Here is a 17,107-nt window from a genome sequence, read left to right on the forward strand (position 1 = left end):
AGAGCTAGTGAGAGGCCACCAGGAGGCCCCCAGTGTTCATGGCAGAGCCTTCTGCCTTGCAGCTATGGGGAAGATTGATGTGGACAAGATCCTCTTTTTCAATCAAGAAATCAGGCTGTGGCAGGTAAATAAGCTTCTTAGTAACTTTCCCCCCAGGACTACATTTTTTCTGGGTGCACATCTGCTTGTGTGTGTGGCAGTGGTTGGGGCGGGAGGTGGGGTGACTACATGAAAGGTTGAGGCAGGTCAGAGGTCAGTTTCCAAACCACTCTGTGTCATCTTGGTGCGAGGATAAGGCTCCCCAAGACAGAGCTTCACAAACCCCTAGGTCCCCAGCAACACGGCAGGTAGGGCTGGTGGTGGGAGGTTGGTGGTGGGAGGTGTGGGCAGGCCCAGGAGAGAAAAGTCAGGGAGTGGGGGTGGAGTGGGGTGGTGACAATTTCCTTAAAGCCCTGAGCGACCCTAGGTCAAGGGCTGCGTGACAGCCAGAAATGGGGCAGCGACCCAAGCAGAATTTTGGAGTGAAATGAACATTTTAAATTTTCCTAGAAAGGCCTGTCTCTACAAAAAAATTAAAAATTAGCATGGTGTGGTGGTGCGGGGCTGTAGTCCCGGCTACTCAGGAGGCTGAGGCAGGAGAATCGCTTGAGCCCGGGAATTCGAGGCTGCAGTGCACTCCAACCTGGGCGACAGAACGAGAACCTGTCTCAGGAAAAAAAAAATGCTAGAAGGGGAGAATGAGAATTGACCCTTACTGGAAGGTTTTTCTGTTTTTATGTGACGGTTTCTTTATATGTGGGACATCATCTCACTGACGTCAAACTTCATGAGTGTCTAAGCCTCCCAGGTACCCTACTGCGTGCTTTCCGTAGCGGCTCGTTGATAGTCCTCTCAGTCCCTGCGAGGTGGATTCTAATCCAGAATCCCCTGCTACGCCTGCTAAGCCTGTGACCCCTGTTTCACCCCTGCCTCAGGAGTGAAGGAGCTCACCCATCAGATGGCAGCAAGGGGGCGCCTGGGCGGAGCCATGCTTCTTGCACCGTGCACTGGCCCTGAGCCGGGCACTTCAAGGGGCTTTGTCCTGCATCTGCTACCAAATGTGTAGGGCCTCGCTAGTACCCCCACCAGTGTCAACCAGATATAGTGGGATCATGAGCATCACGAAATATTGCAGGATATAAGCATACAAGCAAAAAGAAGCCTAAACGAGAGTACATCTATATTTGGGAAGGAAAAATGAATTTTTTTTCCAAACTGAAAGAATACCTACTTCCTACTACCCAGAGTGAACCCCTTTTCTCTCTTATTCTTGATATTTTAATCTGAGCTATTAAAGGTCCCTTCTCTCCACCCCATTTTCTCCCCCCATCCTCTATTTCTTCCTGCCTTATTTAAAATGCTATTTCCCTTTCTCCCTTTTATGCGTTTATTTCCTTCATGCCGTTTTCTCATGTTTTCGCTTGAGGCAGCGAGCCTGGTATTTTGATTCCTTTATCTAAGGGGTTTTCCGTAACCCTCAGGACAACCCTGTAAGCTGGTGGCATTGCCCCATTTGAGAGATGAGAAAACTGGGGCCCAGTGCCAGGTGAGTGGAACCAGCTGGAGGGCATCTACTTAGTCCTCTGAGGACACATGAAGGCTGTGTGGAGCCCCCGAGCTGATTACTGACGCGAGGGTCCCCTCCCTGACCCCTCGCGACCCTGCGAGGTGAGTCAGCCCCGCCCCTCCCTCTTCTCTCTCCTCCCTTTTCTGTCGCCTTCGGACAACTTGTAACACTGTTTCTTCCACTGCCCACACGCCCATTGGCCCGTCACCACGCATCCCCATTGGCTGTGGCGGCCAGGGACAGGGCCGCGATTGGTCCCCACCCCTGTAACGAGGTGCCAGGTCTGTTTTCTGACCCAGACAGGAACCGCGATCCCCACTCCGGCGCACGAAGCCGGGTGACTGCTGTCCCGGGAGTGGGGACGTCGCGTGCACCGTTGGCGAGTAAGTATCCTTTGAACGCTCCTCTCCAGAAAGGTGCCCTTGGGCATATGAGTGTTTGTGTAGACTTGAAAGAATTCAGTGCAGCGGAGCCTAACAGGTGAACTTTTAGCGCGGGGTTCACAGGAGCCTTTTGTATCCGTCACTGTGGCTACCTACATTTTTGAGAGTGATTCTGGATGATGATGATGATGATGATGATGATTATTATTATTATCATTTTGAGACGGAGTTTCGCTCTTGTCACCCAGGCTGGAGTGCAATGGCGAGATCTCAGCTCACTGCAACCTCCGCCTCCCGGGTTCAAGCGATTCTCCTGCCTCAGCTTCCCGAGTAGCTGGAACTACAGGTGTGGGCCACCACGCCCGGCTAATTGTTTGTATTTCTAGTAGAGACAGGGGTTTCACCGTGTTGGCTGGGCTGGTCTCGAACTCCTGACCTCAGGTGATCCGTCCACCTCGGCTTCCCAAAGTGTGGGATTACAGGCAGGAGCCACGGCACCCAGCCAATTCTGGATTATTTTTACATAATTTGATATAGATAGAAAATCAAAGGAAGCTGTCTGTGGGTTGTAGTACATTATGCAGTGTATTATACTGTCTGGGGCTTGCTAATGAGAATGGATCACACTCAAATATTTTGTGGACTGATGCTTAAAAATGAACATTTCTCTGAAATTTGGAGAAGGTGAGGGCATTTTTTTTAAAGTTTAGTCTAGGGAGTTTTTTAAACGTCAGCTCTGAGTGGATATTAAAAAGTGTTTTAATAGGAAAATATGTGGTAATGAAAGTATGCTCTGCTTTATAGAGGACAATTAATAAAAATATGTCATGTGACAGTGTTAATCCTCACAAAATGCCCTTTTAGAAGAAGGTATCAACGAAGCTGCCTCCTAACTTTGTTAGACTGAAAGGTTATGTTTGGCAAGCTGATCTCATGAACAAGGTCGAACACAGCAATAAGTTTTGGTTTTCTTTGTTCACTTGTTTGCTTTTAGACAGAATCTCACTCTGTCACCCAGACTGGAGTGCAGTAGCATGATCTCAGCTCACTGCAACCTCTGCTTCCTAGGCTCAAGTGATCCTCCCAACTCAGCCTCCTGGGTGGCTGGGACTACAGGCACATGACGCCCAGATAATTTTTGTATTTTTTGTAGAAATGGGGTTTGGCCACGTTGCCCAGTCTGGTCTCAAACTCCTGAGCTCAAGTGATCCTCCTGCCTCAGCCTCCCAAAGTGCTAGGATTACAGGCAAGAGCCACTGTGCCTGGGCAGCAATACGTTTTTTAAAGGGGAAAATATGTTAGAGCTATGGCCATTCTGAAAGGCCTAGTATTATTTTGGGCTCCAGTTTCCTGCAGAATAAATGGGCTTTGCACAGAGAGAGTGTTCAGTAAACATTTGTTCATAAACATAAGGAAGTCTCCAAAATTCCTTAAGATGAAGCTTCTCATACTGCTATGTGCTCCATACCCCACTTCTATTGGTTATGAGTGGCTTTTTTTTTTTTATTGCTCCAGATACTCATAGAATCATGAGCATGACTTTTTTTTTTTTTTTAAGACAGAGTTTCACTCTTGTGGCCCAGGTTGGAGTCCAGTGGCACGATCTCAGCTCACTGCAACCTCCAACTCCTGGGTTCAAGTGATTCTCCTGCCTCAGCTTCCTGAGTAACTGAGATTACAGTTGCTTGCCACCACGCCAGCTAATTTTTCTATTTTTAGTAAGAGACGGGGTTTCACCATGTTGGCCAGGCTGGTCTTGAACTCCTTACCTCAGGTGATTCACCCGCCTTGGCCCCCCAACATGCTGGGATTACAGGTGTGAGCCACCGCGCCCAGCTGATCATGACCTTTTAAAAATAAAAACGTTCAGACTATAATCTAGTTAAAGAATTTTTACCTCCTTTATGCAGATAAAGAAATTAAGGCCAAACATGGTGGCTCATGCCTGTAAAGCCAGCACTTTGGGAGGCCAAGATAGGAGGATCATTTGAGCCTAGGAGTTCAAGACCAACCCGGGCAACATAGTGAGACCCTGTCTCTACAGAAAAATTAACCAGGCCCAGTGGTGCACGTCTGTAGTCCTAGCTACTCAGGAGGATGTGGTGGAAGGATTACTTGAGCCTAGGAGTTTGAGGCTGCAATGAGCCATGAGCTTGCCACTGCCCTCCAGCTTGGTCAATGGAGCGAGACCCTATCTCAAAAGAAATAGGAAAAAAAAAAACCTTAAGAACTAGAGCCCAGAGGTGGTGGCTCATGTTTGTAATGCCAACACTTTAGGAGGCTGACGCGGGAGGTTCACTTGAACCCAGGCATTTAAGACCAGCCTGGGCAACATAGTGAGACCCCATCTTTATATATATATATGTGTGTGTGTATGTGTGTGTGTGTGTGTGTGTGTGAACTAGAGAGATTTCTTGCCTCATCCAAAATCACAAAGTCACAAGGTTGGTTAGCCTGAAGATGTGGTTATGACCCAGGTATCAAGCCAATCCATAACCCAACTTGCCTTTCCCTTTACCAGCTCATCCCATCTTTGACTGTGTCTCTGCATCATCCTTAAGATTAGCTTCCTTCAAACTACTATCTCTGTACTGAGTTCCCTCAATTCTTGCTCATTTTAGATGCCCAAACATTCACATTCACCTCTCCAAGCATGCCCAGTTTTCCAAGTCTGGATAGGATATCCAGCTTCTTCACCCTATATAATCTTCACTACCTTTCTTAATTAGCAATTGACCAACATCACCTTGAAAGAGATTTTTGAAGGCTTCTCAATGAGATACAGAGAGGTCTTTCGGGTTAGGGTGGAACTAAGATGTTATTTCCCCTCCACCCACCAAGATTTTCTCTTAATCTTTATTTTCCTTTAGCTCATTCAACCCAGTGTCTCTGCCCATCCCCACGCTTGGGAGATTTTTGTCTTAGTAGTCCAGGCAATAGAATTCTTAGTGGTTTTAGTGTGGGAGAGGCAGCCAAGAAAGGGAAGCTTGAGTTAATCATCTATGTCTATGCATGGTACCACTTCCTGGGAGGGACACAACTGATGCTTGACACACAGGTGCCGATCAAAGATTTTTCTTAGTTGTTGCCAGAACATGATTGAGTTAGAAACCAGTGTGGCCTGGGACTGGGAAGCTCATTAAAGGAATTGGGACTTAAACTGGGAAGGGCAAGTTGGCTCTAGATCCATAGAAACTGAAGACAGGGGCAGAGAGAGATGGTATTATAGATGGAAGAAGGGGCAGTGGGTCATGGAATAAATATTGGTGAGCAGGGGAGCAAACCAAAGGGGTAATTGGGAGATTCTGAGTTTTCAAGGCTATTAAAATGCAGTTCCAGGCCCTAGGGAGGAGAGTTCCAGACTGTTTTCTCTACACTGCTATAATTCCTTACACTGCTGGGAGCAGTTTCTTTGACATACTTTGCAACTGCAGAGGGCTTTTAGGAGAGCCGAGTTTTGTTTTTAAGTAACAGATCACTTCTTGATCTCATTTTTACAATAGTTAGCTCCCCCTTTCACAGTATGTTTCATTCCCCCTTCCTAGCCAAACGGCTAATCTTGGAATAAGGCGGAGGGTCCTGCCCTCCTCTCCCCATCCTAGACAGTAACTTCTGAGGCACTTCTTCCAGGCGAGCCAGCCCTTCACACAAATCACAGGTGCTGACGGGACAGACCCAAGTGTATTATTAGATAAAAAGAGCTCTGTCCACCGGGCGTGGTGGCTCACACCTGTAAACCTTGCACTTTGGGAGGCCGAGGCAGGCGGATCAGGAGGTCAGGAGTTCGAGACCAGCCTGACCAACACGGTGAAACCCCGTCTCTACTAAAAATACAAAAATTAGCCAGTCGTGGTGGTGGGCGCCTGTAATCCCAGCTACTCAGGAGGCTGAGGCAGGAGAATCGCTTGAACCCGGGAGGCAGAGGTTGCAGTGAGCCGAGATCACGCCACTGCACTCCAACCCAGGCGACAGAGCCAGACTCCATCTCAAAACAAAAAACAAAACAAAAAAAAAAGAGCTCAGTCTAACAAAGATCTACCTAAGACCCTGTCAGGGCCACAGAGACGGAAAAAATTCCAAGTCAATCGAAATAACTAGGAAAGAATGCCTTGTGCGGATCATACATAGCACAGTGGTTCCTAGTAGTGAACAGGAGGCAGGATCTAGAGGGAAGACATTGAAAATCGCTCAAGGTCTAATTAAGAGTAACATCTCCAGCGCTTGATTCTGCCCTTAAAGCAGAGTAGGAGGGTCATCTCCCATCTTTCCTGCGGTGTGCCCCCTCCCTGAGCCAAGGGGGGGCGGGGGTGTAAATTTCCCCCAGCTCCTGACCAGGGGGCGCCTGGGGGCAGGCAAGATGGAGGCCACGGCTCCAGGCAGCTTGGCCAGCATGCTCTGGGGCTGTCCCCGCCCCTAGGGGCGAGCAGCCCTGGCGGCTCCTAGAGGCGACTGGTGGGAAGTCTGCCCCCTATGGGGGAGGCAGAGGACTGCACTCTTGTCCAGGGCTGAAACTGTCCACACAGCCATCCAGGAATTTCAGGCTGAGCGTGTTTGGGCAGAAGGGAGGACACCCAGCACTGGCATTGGGAGAACTCCAGATTCCCTACAAGCCCAGAGGCCTTTGGTGTTAGTATCCTGAGACTGTTAGAGAACTTGAGGTCCTGGGAGGACCCTGTTATTTTTATATCTCTGTTCATCTAGAACAGTGCTTCCCACCCGCTTCCCTTTTTCTGTATGTTAACCTAAATCCCCTGGTGTCCAGACACATCTGTTGCTCCTTAATTTAAACAAGTAAAAACAAAAAACAAAAAAAACCTATATTCTTCTGTTCAAAAGGTTCTCATTTTCCCTGGGCAGTTCAAAATCTTCACAGTTTCACTTTGCTTCCTATTAAAGATTAGTTGGTATCTGGAATTGAAGACCATGAAGGCATAGGCTCTAATCTAACATAACCCTGGAGCTGGGCTTGAGGGGCCTCTGCAGATTGGTGCTGTTTTCCCTTGGAAGATACCACAGTGTAATTCCTGGTAACAGATGTGACAGAGACATGCACGGACCAGCATGGGCAACCACAGCATCACTGTTCCCATCTTCCTGCCCTGTTCCAAAAAGCAAAACAAGGGAAAGTTGATACACTGGGGAAGACCAGATTATTGATGAGAAGTTGTTTTCTGAGCTAAAAAGTGTTTCAACATCCCACACTGCCTGATTGGGTTTACCATCTCATTGGCCTATTTTCCATACTATAGCATAGTGGGAAAGGTGTCTTCCATCTCCCTTCCTCATAACCCCTTAATGAAGATTGTTTCCAGCTGCTGCCAGCTGGGGTGATGCTTGACACACAAATCAAGAGTTAGCGGTGGCTCTCAAAGTGTGAAAGTATAGGAATCACCCTGGGAGCTGCACGCTGGGTTCAGATCCGATGTTTTCAAGGCAGGGCCTGGGCATGTGTATTTTCAACAGTCTCTGCAGGTGACACTAACATACCTCAAAATTAACAAACCCCTGGCGGAGGTCATGCATTGTCTCTGTATGGACTGAGCTCAGCAGGGAGTAGACCTAGCAGAAACCGCTCACTGTAATTCACCAGAAACTCCAGTACTGAGCACCTAATGGGGGCCAGGCTCTGTGTTACGCACTGAGGGTACAGAAGTGACGAAGTCGCAGCCTCCCTGTCCAAAGAGCAGACAGGCTAGTGGGGAGTAGATCTCTGAGTAGTGGGGTGAGGCCTGATGGAAGGGTCTATGGCTCAGGTAAAAGGCCCTGGCCCCTGTATCTTATTAAAACAATTACATGTCAGTCCCAGAATCGCCTCTCCTAGGGAAGGGCTTCTGGCTTGTAAGCTCAGATGTAACAAAGAAGGACACAGTGATCATCTCCAGAACCCACTAGAGGCAAGATAAGGCAAAATGGGTTTCAGTTCTCTGTCGTCAGGTGACTTTTGCTTGCACAGGTGGTAAAGTGAATTTTCTTATTTTCTTTTTTATGTTTTTCCTTGAGGTATATCACAGAAAAATTCTCGAGTCTAAAGTGTACCCCTTGAGGGATTTTTTTTTCATATGCATACACCTGTGTAACTACTATCCACATCAAAGAGGGGGCATTCTTGAGGTAGAAAAGACCTCACAGTGGGGACAAGTACCTGTTCAGCTTTGAACAGACTAAAGTAAAGCCTGAGATCTCAGGGTACAGCTGCTCTCCTTGGCCACGCGTAAAATTAACCCCTGAAATTAACAAGTGTCTGGTGAGTATCTGCAATGTGTTGGAACCTTTCCAGGTAAGTTCCAGGGCCCCTCAACTCTTAAGTCCTATATGGGTGGTTTGCAGTTTTAGGAGTTGAATTTCAAAAACAGAATTTGTGTTGACCCTGTATAATCTCCATCTGCTTTTCTTAATTAGCAATTGACCAACATCACCTTCAAAGGGCTTTTGTAAACTTCTCAAATTTCTCTCACTGTAAATCTTGCCAATAACTGAATTCATGAGGGAGTGAATTTGGGGCCTTTACTTGGGAAGGGTACCTCCTTTCTGCCTGCCTCAATTTGCCTTCCTTTTCCTTTAATATTGTATTTTTATTATCTAGGGCAAAAAAAAAAGCATACTATTACATTACAGCTTATAATGGCAACCCCTGAAGAAAACAGCAATCCCCATGACAGAGCAACACCCCAGCTGCCAGCACAGCTGCAGGAGCTTGAGCATCGGGTGGCCCGGAGACGGCTGTCCCAGGCCCGCCACCGAGCCACCCTGGCAGCGCTCTTCAACAACCTCAGGAAGACAGTGTACTCTCAGTCTGATCTCATAGCCTCAAAGGTATGGGGACCTGGAGGAGGAGAGGGGACATCTCCACGGGGAAGGAGACGTTTTCACAGGTGGAGGGACTGTGTTGCAAGGCAGGGACTGGCCTGGAGCTGCCACTTCTGCTGGGGTAGCGACAAATGCCCTAGACAGGGTAATTTATAAACAACAGAAGTTTATTGCTCCAGGTTCTGAAGCCTGTGAAGTCCAAGACAAAGGTGCCATCAGATTGGGTGTCTGGTGAGGGCATGCTCTCTGGTTCATAGACAGGGCTATCTTGCTGTGTTCTCACATGGGGGAAAGACAAACAGGTTCCCTCAGGACTCTTTTATAAGGGCACCAATCACCTTAATCACCTTCCAAAAGCCCCCACCTCTTAATACTATCATATTGGGGATTGGGTCTCAACATACTAAATTTTGGGGGGACACAAACATTCAGACCACAGCAGGTGGACAATCATCTTTCCACCCTACGAACAAGCCCAAGATGCTGGAAATCAGTCAGCCCCTGGTTCCAAGTCTTTGCTGACCCAACAGCATCAACATGAGCTCTGGGACTGGGGAGAGCAAAACACATAGGAGTGCTCAGGGAGCTTGCAATCCACTGTATCATCATGCAGCTGCGGTTCCCTTCACCTCCTCTTTGGCCTGGCAGAGCACTGTGACTCCAGCCCCCTCAAGTCTCCTTTTTAGGCACCACTAGAATCCTTGGAATCTAGAATGTCAAATCCCAGGCTACTCTGCCCCCAGCTGCTTTGGGGTCCCCCCTCCATGCCCACCCCACACTCTGGCCACATCTCACTGCAGCAGTTCCCTGAGCCAGGCCTGCCTCTCATGGCCTCTGTGTCTCTGCTCATGCAGTTAGCTCTGCCTTTGGGATTCTGTGCACACTTCAAAGCTGGGCTTGGCTCACTCTGCTCAGCTGCCCTGCTCCATGGAATCTTCTGGACCCCTCCAGTTGGACTATTCCCTCCTCCTTGTACATTTTCACAGCCCTTTGCTTCTACCCCTTGTTAGTACCTACTTAATTCTATATTGTGTTATAAGGGGTTGTTTCCATGCTTGTCTTCCCTGTCAGAGGTCAGCACCCTGAGAGAGGGGACTGTCTTATGTACTCTGTATCCCTGGGACTTACCACATAGTTTTGCCCTTGTACATGCCCAAGGGATGCATGCAGCCCCTGACAGATATAGGTGGTCAGCCTAACAAACAACATTTAGCATTGCTCGTTTTTGAATAATCTTGCTGTTACCATTTTAGCATTGCTCGTTTTTGAATAATCTTGCTGTTACCATTTTGACTTTAATAATGTTACATACAGGAAGTAAGGAGGGAAGAAGGAAGGAAGAGAAGAGGAGGAAGGAAAGAAAAAGGAAGGAAGGAAAGGAAGGGAGGGAGGGAGGGAGGGAAAAAAGGAAGTTGGAAGGGAGGAAGGGAGGAAGGAAGGAGGGAAGGAGGGAGGGAAAAAAGGAAGGAAGTTGGAAGGAAGGAAGGGGGAGGGAGGGAGGGGAGCAGAAGGGAGGGGAGGGAGGGAGAGAGGGAGGGAGGGAAAAAGGGAAAGAGGGAAATTTAGAGTTCAGGTTGACAGCATTTGATAAGTTTTTAGATCATCTGGAGCGTATGCAGTTAGCAAATAAAAATAGTGGGAGAATAGGACATTTAATATTAACTAGCCCTTTGCACAGGGTTACCACTGAGCTGAAGTCTAGCTCTGCTTTGTGCAAGCCTGGGGTTGACGTTCATGCAGAATGCGCCTCTTCCATCACTCCTTATTCCACCTTCAAGCCGCCTCTGTAGTCATTTGCCTTTCTACAGCACTAGCAATTTGCTGAACAAAGCTTAACTCTTTCCAAATCCTTTGGCATTTCGGTGAGAACCCACTTCTAGGCTACAAACAAAACTTCCTGCCTCCTGTGCATCAGAACAAACTTCCTATTCTTTTTACTGACAAGGTTAAGGGATGTGACTTTGCATCTGAGGGAGCGTGGCCTCAGCCCTGGGAAGGGATTCCTGGGTCCACAAAATCAGTCTCTGCAGTGAGAGGCTGGCTTTCAGCATTGTCTCTGTCTATCCTCAGTGGCAGGTTCTGAATAAGGCAAAGAGTCATATTCCAGAACTGGAGCAAACCCTGGATAATTTGCTGAAGCTGAAAGGTAATGGAGCACTACTTGCCAACCCCATCTCCCTCCCTGGAGAAAACTGGATCTGTTTTTCTATTGAAAACAGAAGTTGGGTTACAATGAATCAACAAATATTTATTGAGGGCCTACTGTGTGCCAGGAACTGTGCTTGGGCCAATGTTGAGGGTCCCTGTCCTTAGTGAGCCTGCAGTCCAGCAAGACTGGCCAGAGTCACCAGGCCATGAGACTCTGATGAGTTCCCTACTGGAGTGCTGCCAAAGGCACCTGATCTCATCTTCAGAGGCCAGAGGAAAAGTGGGCTCCTGCTTGTCTAAGGCTCTCCCTTCACACCTAGAAGGAAAAACTGGACCCTGGTCTCCCTAATGCTGACCCTGGAGGGTTCAGGGTCCCACCCACAGCCCACCTGGGCCAGAAGGGTGGGAGAGACTCAACAGAGGCCTGACTTTTCTCTTTGTGTTCCTGGTCTTCAACTCCCCAATAGCATCCTTCAACCTGGAAGATGGGCATGCAAGCAGCTTAGAGGAGGTCAAGAAAGAATATGCCAGCATGTATTCTGGAAATGACAGGTAAGACACCACAAACCCCAGGAAGCTGGGGACCTGCTGTGTCCTCACAGCCATCAGTACTGTCTGGTGGCAACTCACCCTTCCTCTCCAGCCTGCAGGACCATCAGGGCTGCTGCTCACCATTCAAAACAGCCATATGCTGGAGACCATTCGTTTCTCTTTTATTCTAGCAACATGCATCAATTTTTTCCCAATTATAAAAAGATACATGCTTATCACAGAAGATGCAGAAAATACACAAAAGCCAGAAAATATATATTGTCCCAGAACTCAAAGAAAATCAATGTTAATTTTCAAGAAAATCCATCAAGTTTTTAAAAAATGTTGCACATTATTCTTTAGAGAAATGAGCCCATAGTGTTTACATTATATTATAGCTTTTTCTATATGTATTTTTTAAAGCCACAACTAATGTCTTTCTTGGAGGATACATATGACAATCAGGAAAATGCAAATCTCAGTCTATATTCCAAGCCTCCTAAGAAAAGCTAAATTAAACTTCAGCAACGAAAAGGAACCATGGTACACCCAGGTGTCACAAATGCTGAAAGGGGAACATTATTAATGTCACATTCATACTTTGAAGGAGAAACTGATTTGAGAAATGTACTTTTATGATCTCATGGTTTTTTGTTTTTGTTTTTGGTTTGGTTTGGTTTGTTTTTTGAGACGGAGTCTCACTCTGTCACCCAGGCTGGAGTGCAGTGGCATGATCTCAGTTCACTGCCACCTTTGCCTCCCAGGTTCAAGAACTTCTCCTGCCTCAGACTCCCAAGTAGCTGGGATTACAGGCGCCTGCCACCACGCCTGGCTAGTTTTTGTATTTTTAGTAGACACGGGGTTTCAACATGTTGCCCAAGCTGGTCTCAAACTCTGACCTCAAGGTATCTACCTGCCTTGGCCTCCCAAAGTGTTGGGATTACAGGTGTGAGCTACCACGCCCAGCTGAGCTTGCTTTTTTGACTCAACATGTTACCTTGGGGATTATTCCTCTAAGTATAAAGAGATCCTGGGTGCAGGTCCTGACTTTTCCAAATTATATCCTATTGTTTCATTCTCTTCAAGGTGTCTTTTGAAGAGCAGAATTTGCAAATTTTGATGAGTCCAATTTATCCTGTTTTTAATAGATTGAGCTTTTTGTTTAAAACTAAGTATGTCATTTTTTCATGCTATTGTAAATGATGCTTTTTAAAATTTCAATTTCCAACTGTTCATTGCTACTATGTAGCAATATTATTCATTTTTATATTCTGATATTGTCTTCTGCAACCTTGCTAAATTCCCTTCTTGGTTCTAATGACATGTGTGTAGATTATTTGAGATTTTTCTACACAGATAATCACACTGTCTGCAAATAAAGACAGATTTGTCTCTTCTGCTCCAATGTATATTCCTTTTTTTGCTTGCCTTACTGGACTGTCTAGAACCTCCAGAACAATTTTGAATAGAAGTAGTAAGAGTGGACAGTCTCATTTTATTCCTGATCAAGAGGGGAAACTGTCTTTTGCCATTAAGCACGATGTTAGCGGTAGGTTTTTTGGAGATACCCTTTATCAGGTTAACAAAGCTCCTTTTTATTCCTAGTTTGCTGAGAGTTTTTATCATGCATGGATGTTGATTTTGTCAGATGCTTTTTCTGCATCTATTGAGGTTTTTCTTCTGTAGTCTGTTGATATGGTGAATTGCATTGATTGATTTTCAAATGTTGAACCAGTTCTCTTGCATTCCTAGGAAAAAGCTCATTTGGTCATGATGTGTACACCTACACACACACACATACATATACATGTATACTTGCTAAAGTTGCTAAGAATTTCTTGTCCATGTTCATGAGGGATATTAATCTATAGTTGTCTTGTTTCTGTTTTCTTTCCCAGCCTGCTTTCAAACAGTTTTCCTCAGAATGGTTCCTCCCCTTGGTGCCCAACTGAGGCAGTCAGGAAGGATGCTGAGGAGGAGGAAGATGAGGAAGAGGAAGATCAAGAAGAAGAGGAGGAGGAAGAAGAAGAGGAGGAGGAGGAAGAGGAGGAAGAGGAAGAGGAGGAGGAGGAAGAGGAGAAAAAAGTGATCTTATACTCCCCAGGAACTTTGTCGCCTGACCTCATGGAATTTGAACGGTGTGAACAGTTGGGTGGGGTGGCTCTGTGCACCCATGGAGCTCCCTCCCATGGGGAAGGGGACAGAGGCTCTGGCTGGGGTATGCTGCAGCTGTGTGCCCCAGCTGGAGTGCATGGTTCAGACTAGGCCCTGAATCACGAAATCTCCAGGATTTTCATATGGGAGGGGCTGAGGGACAGGACTGGCAGAGAGGCTAGAGAAATAGTCTCAAAGCTACATTAGCATAGCACATACACTCATACAGTGTTTTTACTGAGACTGGGTGTTTATTTGGGGTGCCTTGTGGGGGGCACAGCTGATGGTGATTATGAGGGCTAACCCCTCTCTCCCCCAAAACACATACCCCCACAAGTCCGCACTGCTCTTACAGTAGGAAAGATGGCGAATGGCTGGCTCAGACGTCCCTTGCCACTGCCTCCTCCATAGACTCAAAGCCCCTCAGCAGCCATGTTGGCTTCCAGAGGAGTTGGCTCAATAGCAGGAGGCTCTCTCCACAGCCGAGCCTGACTTTCGGGCTGCAGGTTAAAGTTGGAGTCCTATCATGCCAGCACATTCATGGGCTCAGAATTTTCAAGAATATTCCCTTAGGATGAGAGCTGAGGCAGCTACGCCTCTTATCTGCTTCTGTCTAACACAGAAGGCTTCATGGGGCAGGGACTGGGAGAACTTGGGGAGGGGCCCCAAAGCCCAAGTCTATGTCCTTCATGGCCCCCAGGAAGGCTGCTGCTCTCCAAGGGCCAGGGGCGTGCAGAGTCTGAGAAGTCTCAGCCCTGGTGAGCCGTGGCGCCGTGGCCGGGCCTGCGTGCTGGGGTCCACACCATGAACCGAATCCCGAATCGCTTCGAGAGGGAGCTTTAGGGGTGCGAGACGGCGCCGCTTCTGTTCCAGGTATCTCAACTTTTACAAACAGACGATGGACCTTCTGACTGGCAGCGGGATCATTACCCCGCAGGAGGCGGCGCTGCCCATCGTCTCCGCGGCCATCTCCCACCTGTGGCAGAACCTCTCGGAGGAGAGGAAGGCCAGCCTCCGGCAGGCCTGGGCGCAGAAGCACCGCGGCCCTGCGACCCTGGCGGAGGCCTGCCGAGAGCCGGCCTGTGCCGAGGGCAGCGTGAAGGACAGCGGCGTGGACAGCCAGGGGGCCAGCTGCTCGCTGGTCTCCACGCCCGAGGAGGTGAGCAGGCCCACCGGGGTGGCGTGGATGGGGCACGGGAACCACCCTCGCCCTCGCCTGGGGACACCAGGGCTTTGCATTTAGCAGGTTGGAGGTGCAGTTTGCCTTCTGGCTCCCAAGGTCGGTTTCTGATTTTCTTTTTTCTCTTTTTTTTTTTTTTGAGACGGAGTCTCGCTCTGTCGCCCAGGCTGGAGTGCAGTGGCGCGATCTCGGCTCACTGCAAGCTCTGGCTCCCGGGTTCACCTCATTCTCCTGCCTCAGCCTCCCGAATAGCTGGGACTACAGGCGCCCGCCACCACGCCCGGCTAATTTTTTTGTATTTTTAGTAGAGACGGGGTTTCACTGTGTTAGCCAGGATGGTCTCGATCTCCTTACCTCGTGATCCACCCGCCTCGGCCTTCCGAAGTGCTGGGATTACAGGCGTGAGCCACCGCGCCCGGCCGGTTTCTGATTTTCTAATCCCTGGGGTCACGGAACAGTATTTGTTTTTCTGCGGTTAGTTTCCTGGCCTTTCCCTGGGGATGGCAGAAGACAAGTCTTGAGAGGTTGTCTCAGTTGGGATTCTTTGGGCTGCCAGGGCCTGGATTATTAAACCACGAAGAAATGCACTCCTCACACCCGGGGAGGTCCGAGGCAGGCAGAGGAGCTCACCATGTCCGCGTGGATTCAGGCCTCTCTTGGCTCTGCTCAGTTTCTTATCTTTCCCTGCCCTCCCCACCTCCTCCGGCTCCTGTGGCTATGGAATGGCAGCTAGAGCAATCGAACTGTCTTTCTTCCTACTCTACATCAGGTAAGACAAAGATTTCCTACGAAAGCTCTTTCTTAAGAGTTAAGGAAGAACTTTTCCGGAACCGCTCCTCCCCTCTCATTGGTTGGAACTGGCCAAATTGCCAGCCTGCTGAGCCAATGACTGGCCATAGAGGGAATCACACTTGGACCAATCAGGTCCAGCCCTTGAAAGGCCGTCAGTTCCCACCCCAAAGAGCACTGGGATCGCTCTGTGAAGGGGAGGTTACCACAACTGCTACCGTAAATGCATTTCTCAGCTTTCAGAACGCTAGTCAGAATGGCCGTGGCCATAGTCTGCAAAGCAGAGCATCAGGTAGCATTTGAGGTCGCCCTGCACGGAGATAAAAGTGGGCCCACAGCTGCTCTTCCAGTATGAGGACGGCCTCAGAACACTGCTCTACCACACGGCCCACGCTCGCTCCTCTAGCCCAGGCGCAGCCGATTCGCATTCTGCACATGCCCTGTGCTTCGTGGACATTTAGCATCCATGGCTTCCGCCTGATACAGGCCACCCCCTTGCCCTGACTTTCCAAATGCTCCTCAGTCGGGGCGCCTTTGAGGAGACGACATGCTAGTTTCCCAGAGTCTCTCTGTGGAGCCTTAGGGCCAGAGAGCGTCCGATTGTCTCTGACCCTGGAGTTACAGCCCTGGAATGCCTCCGTTTTTTAGAAGGTTCCTCAGCTATCAGGCCCAAGCCTGGAGAACGACAGAGATGTCACCCATTCCTGTCCTTCCAGTTTGCAGGCCTAACCAGCAGTGTGACTTGCCCAGAACTCCCAGCTCCTGCTTCAGTGACTGTGTCTCTGTCATCACACATTTTTTCACATTACTCTGCCCTTTGGTCACCTGTTGATGGTCAACCCTCCATTATCTCCCCTGATGCTTCTCAACTGAATCACCTGTGGAGTTTTTTTTTAAAGTCAGGTGCCTGGCTGGGCGCAGTGGCTCACACCTGTAATCCCAGCACTTGGGGAGGCCGAGCAAGGTGGGAGCAATGCTTGAGCCCAGGAGTTTGAGACCAGCCTGGGCAACACAGTGAGACTGCGTCTCTACTAAAAACTAAAAAAAAATAAAAAGGTGTGGTGGTGGTACACCTGTAGTCCCAGGTACTCAGGAGGCTGAGGCAGGAGGATCCTTTGACCCCAGGAGGTCAAGGCTGCAGTGAGCTATGATTGTGTCACTGCACTCCAGCCTGGCAACACAGCAAGACTCTATCTATCCCAGACACACTGAATCAGAGCCTCTGAGGGTGGGGCCTCAGGAATTGCATTTTTAACAAGCTTCCCTCGTGGCTAGTGCAGTAGGTCCTATTGGAGGGAACTCCCAGTGCAGATGTTCAATGGCCTACCAGCTACTGCCTTGGTCCTTTCCCCGACCCCCGAACATGGGTCCACCAGACTGTGGCTTCTGATCTGGTTTTCCTCTGATGTTGGGTCCACCATGAGAAGACATGCGTTCTGTTCCATGATGGCTCAAAAAAAGCCAGAAGATTAGGACCTCATACCCAAGGCTTGTATGAAAGGGCAGCCA

At 48.6% G+C, this 17,107-nt stretch overlaps 1 protein-coding gene across 4 annotated transcripts in view, besides 1 other annotated feature; it reads left to right on the forward strand.

Moving 5' to 3' along the window:
• Nucleotides 1–17,107, forward strand: part of STRA8 (stimulated by retinoic acid 8) — a 26,749-nt gene continuing 9,642 nt past the window's right edge. The window contains exons 1-6 of one of the 4 annotated variants that reach the window (NM_182489.3): nucleotides 1–124; nucleotides 8,605–8,802; nucleotides 10,867–10,942; nucleotides 11,412–11,496; nucleotides 13,389–13,415; nucleotides 14,503–14,788. In NM_182489.3, coding sequence (NP_872295.2) covers nucleotides 8,611–8,802; nucleotides 10,867–10,942; nucleotides 11,412–11,496; nucleotides 13,389–13,415; nucleotides 14,503–14,788 — 666 coding nt within the window. In that variant the 5' untranslated portion in view covers nucleotides 1–124; nucleotides 8,605–8,610. Of the gene's footprint in view, nucleotides 125–1,923; nucleotides 1,990–7,085; nucleotides 8,803–10,866; nucleotides 10,943–11,411; nucleotides 11,497–13,373; nucleotides 13,614–14,502; nucleotides 14,789–17,107 lie in introns of those variants that run through there. The other 3 variants (NM_001394401.1, XM_047420324.1, XM_011516137.3) reach the window with 3 other exon arrangements.
• Nucleotides 4,755–4,964: an enhancer, noted in NCBI's record as "active region_26713". NCBI's record gives its function as "activates an Ori minimal core promoter by ATAC-STARR-seq in GM12878 lymphoblastoid cells {active_cell/tissue: GM12878}" and the evidence as "EXISTENCE:reporter gene assay evidence [ECO:0000049][PMID:35858748]".

This window comes from Homo sapiens, chromosome 7 (assembly GCF_000001405.40).
Source record: "Homo sapiens chromosome 7, GRCh38.p14 Primary Assembly".
Classification (NCBI taxonomy): domain Eukaryota; kingdom Metazoa; phylum Chordata; class Mammalia; order Primates; family Hominidae; genus Homo; species Homo sapiens.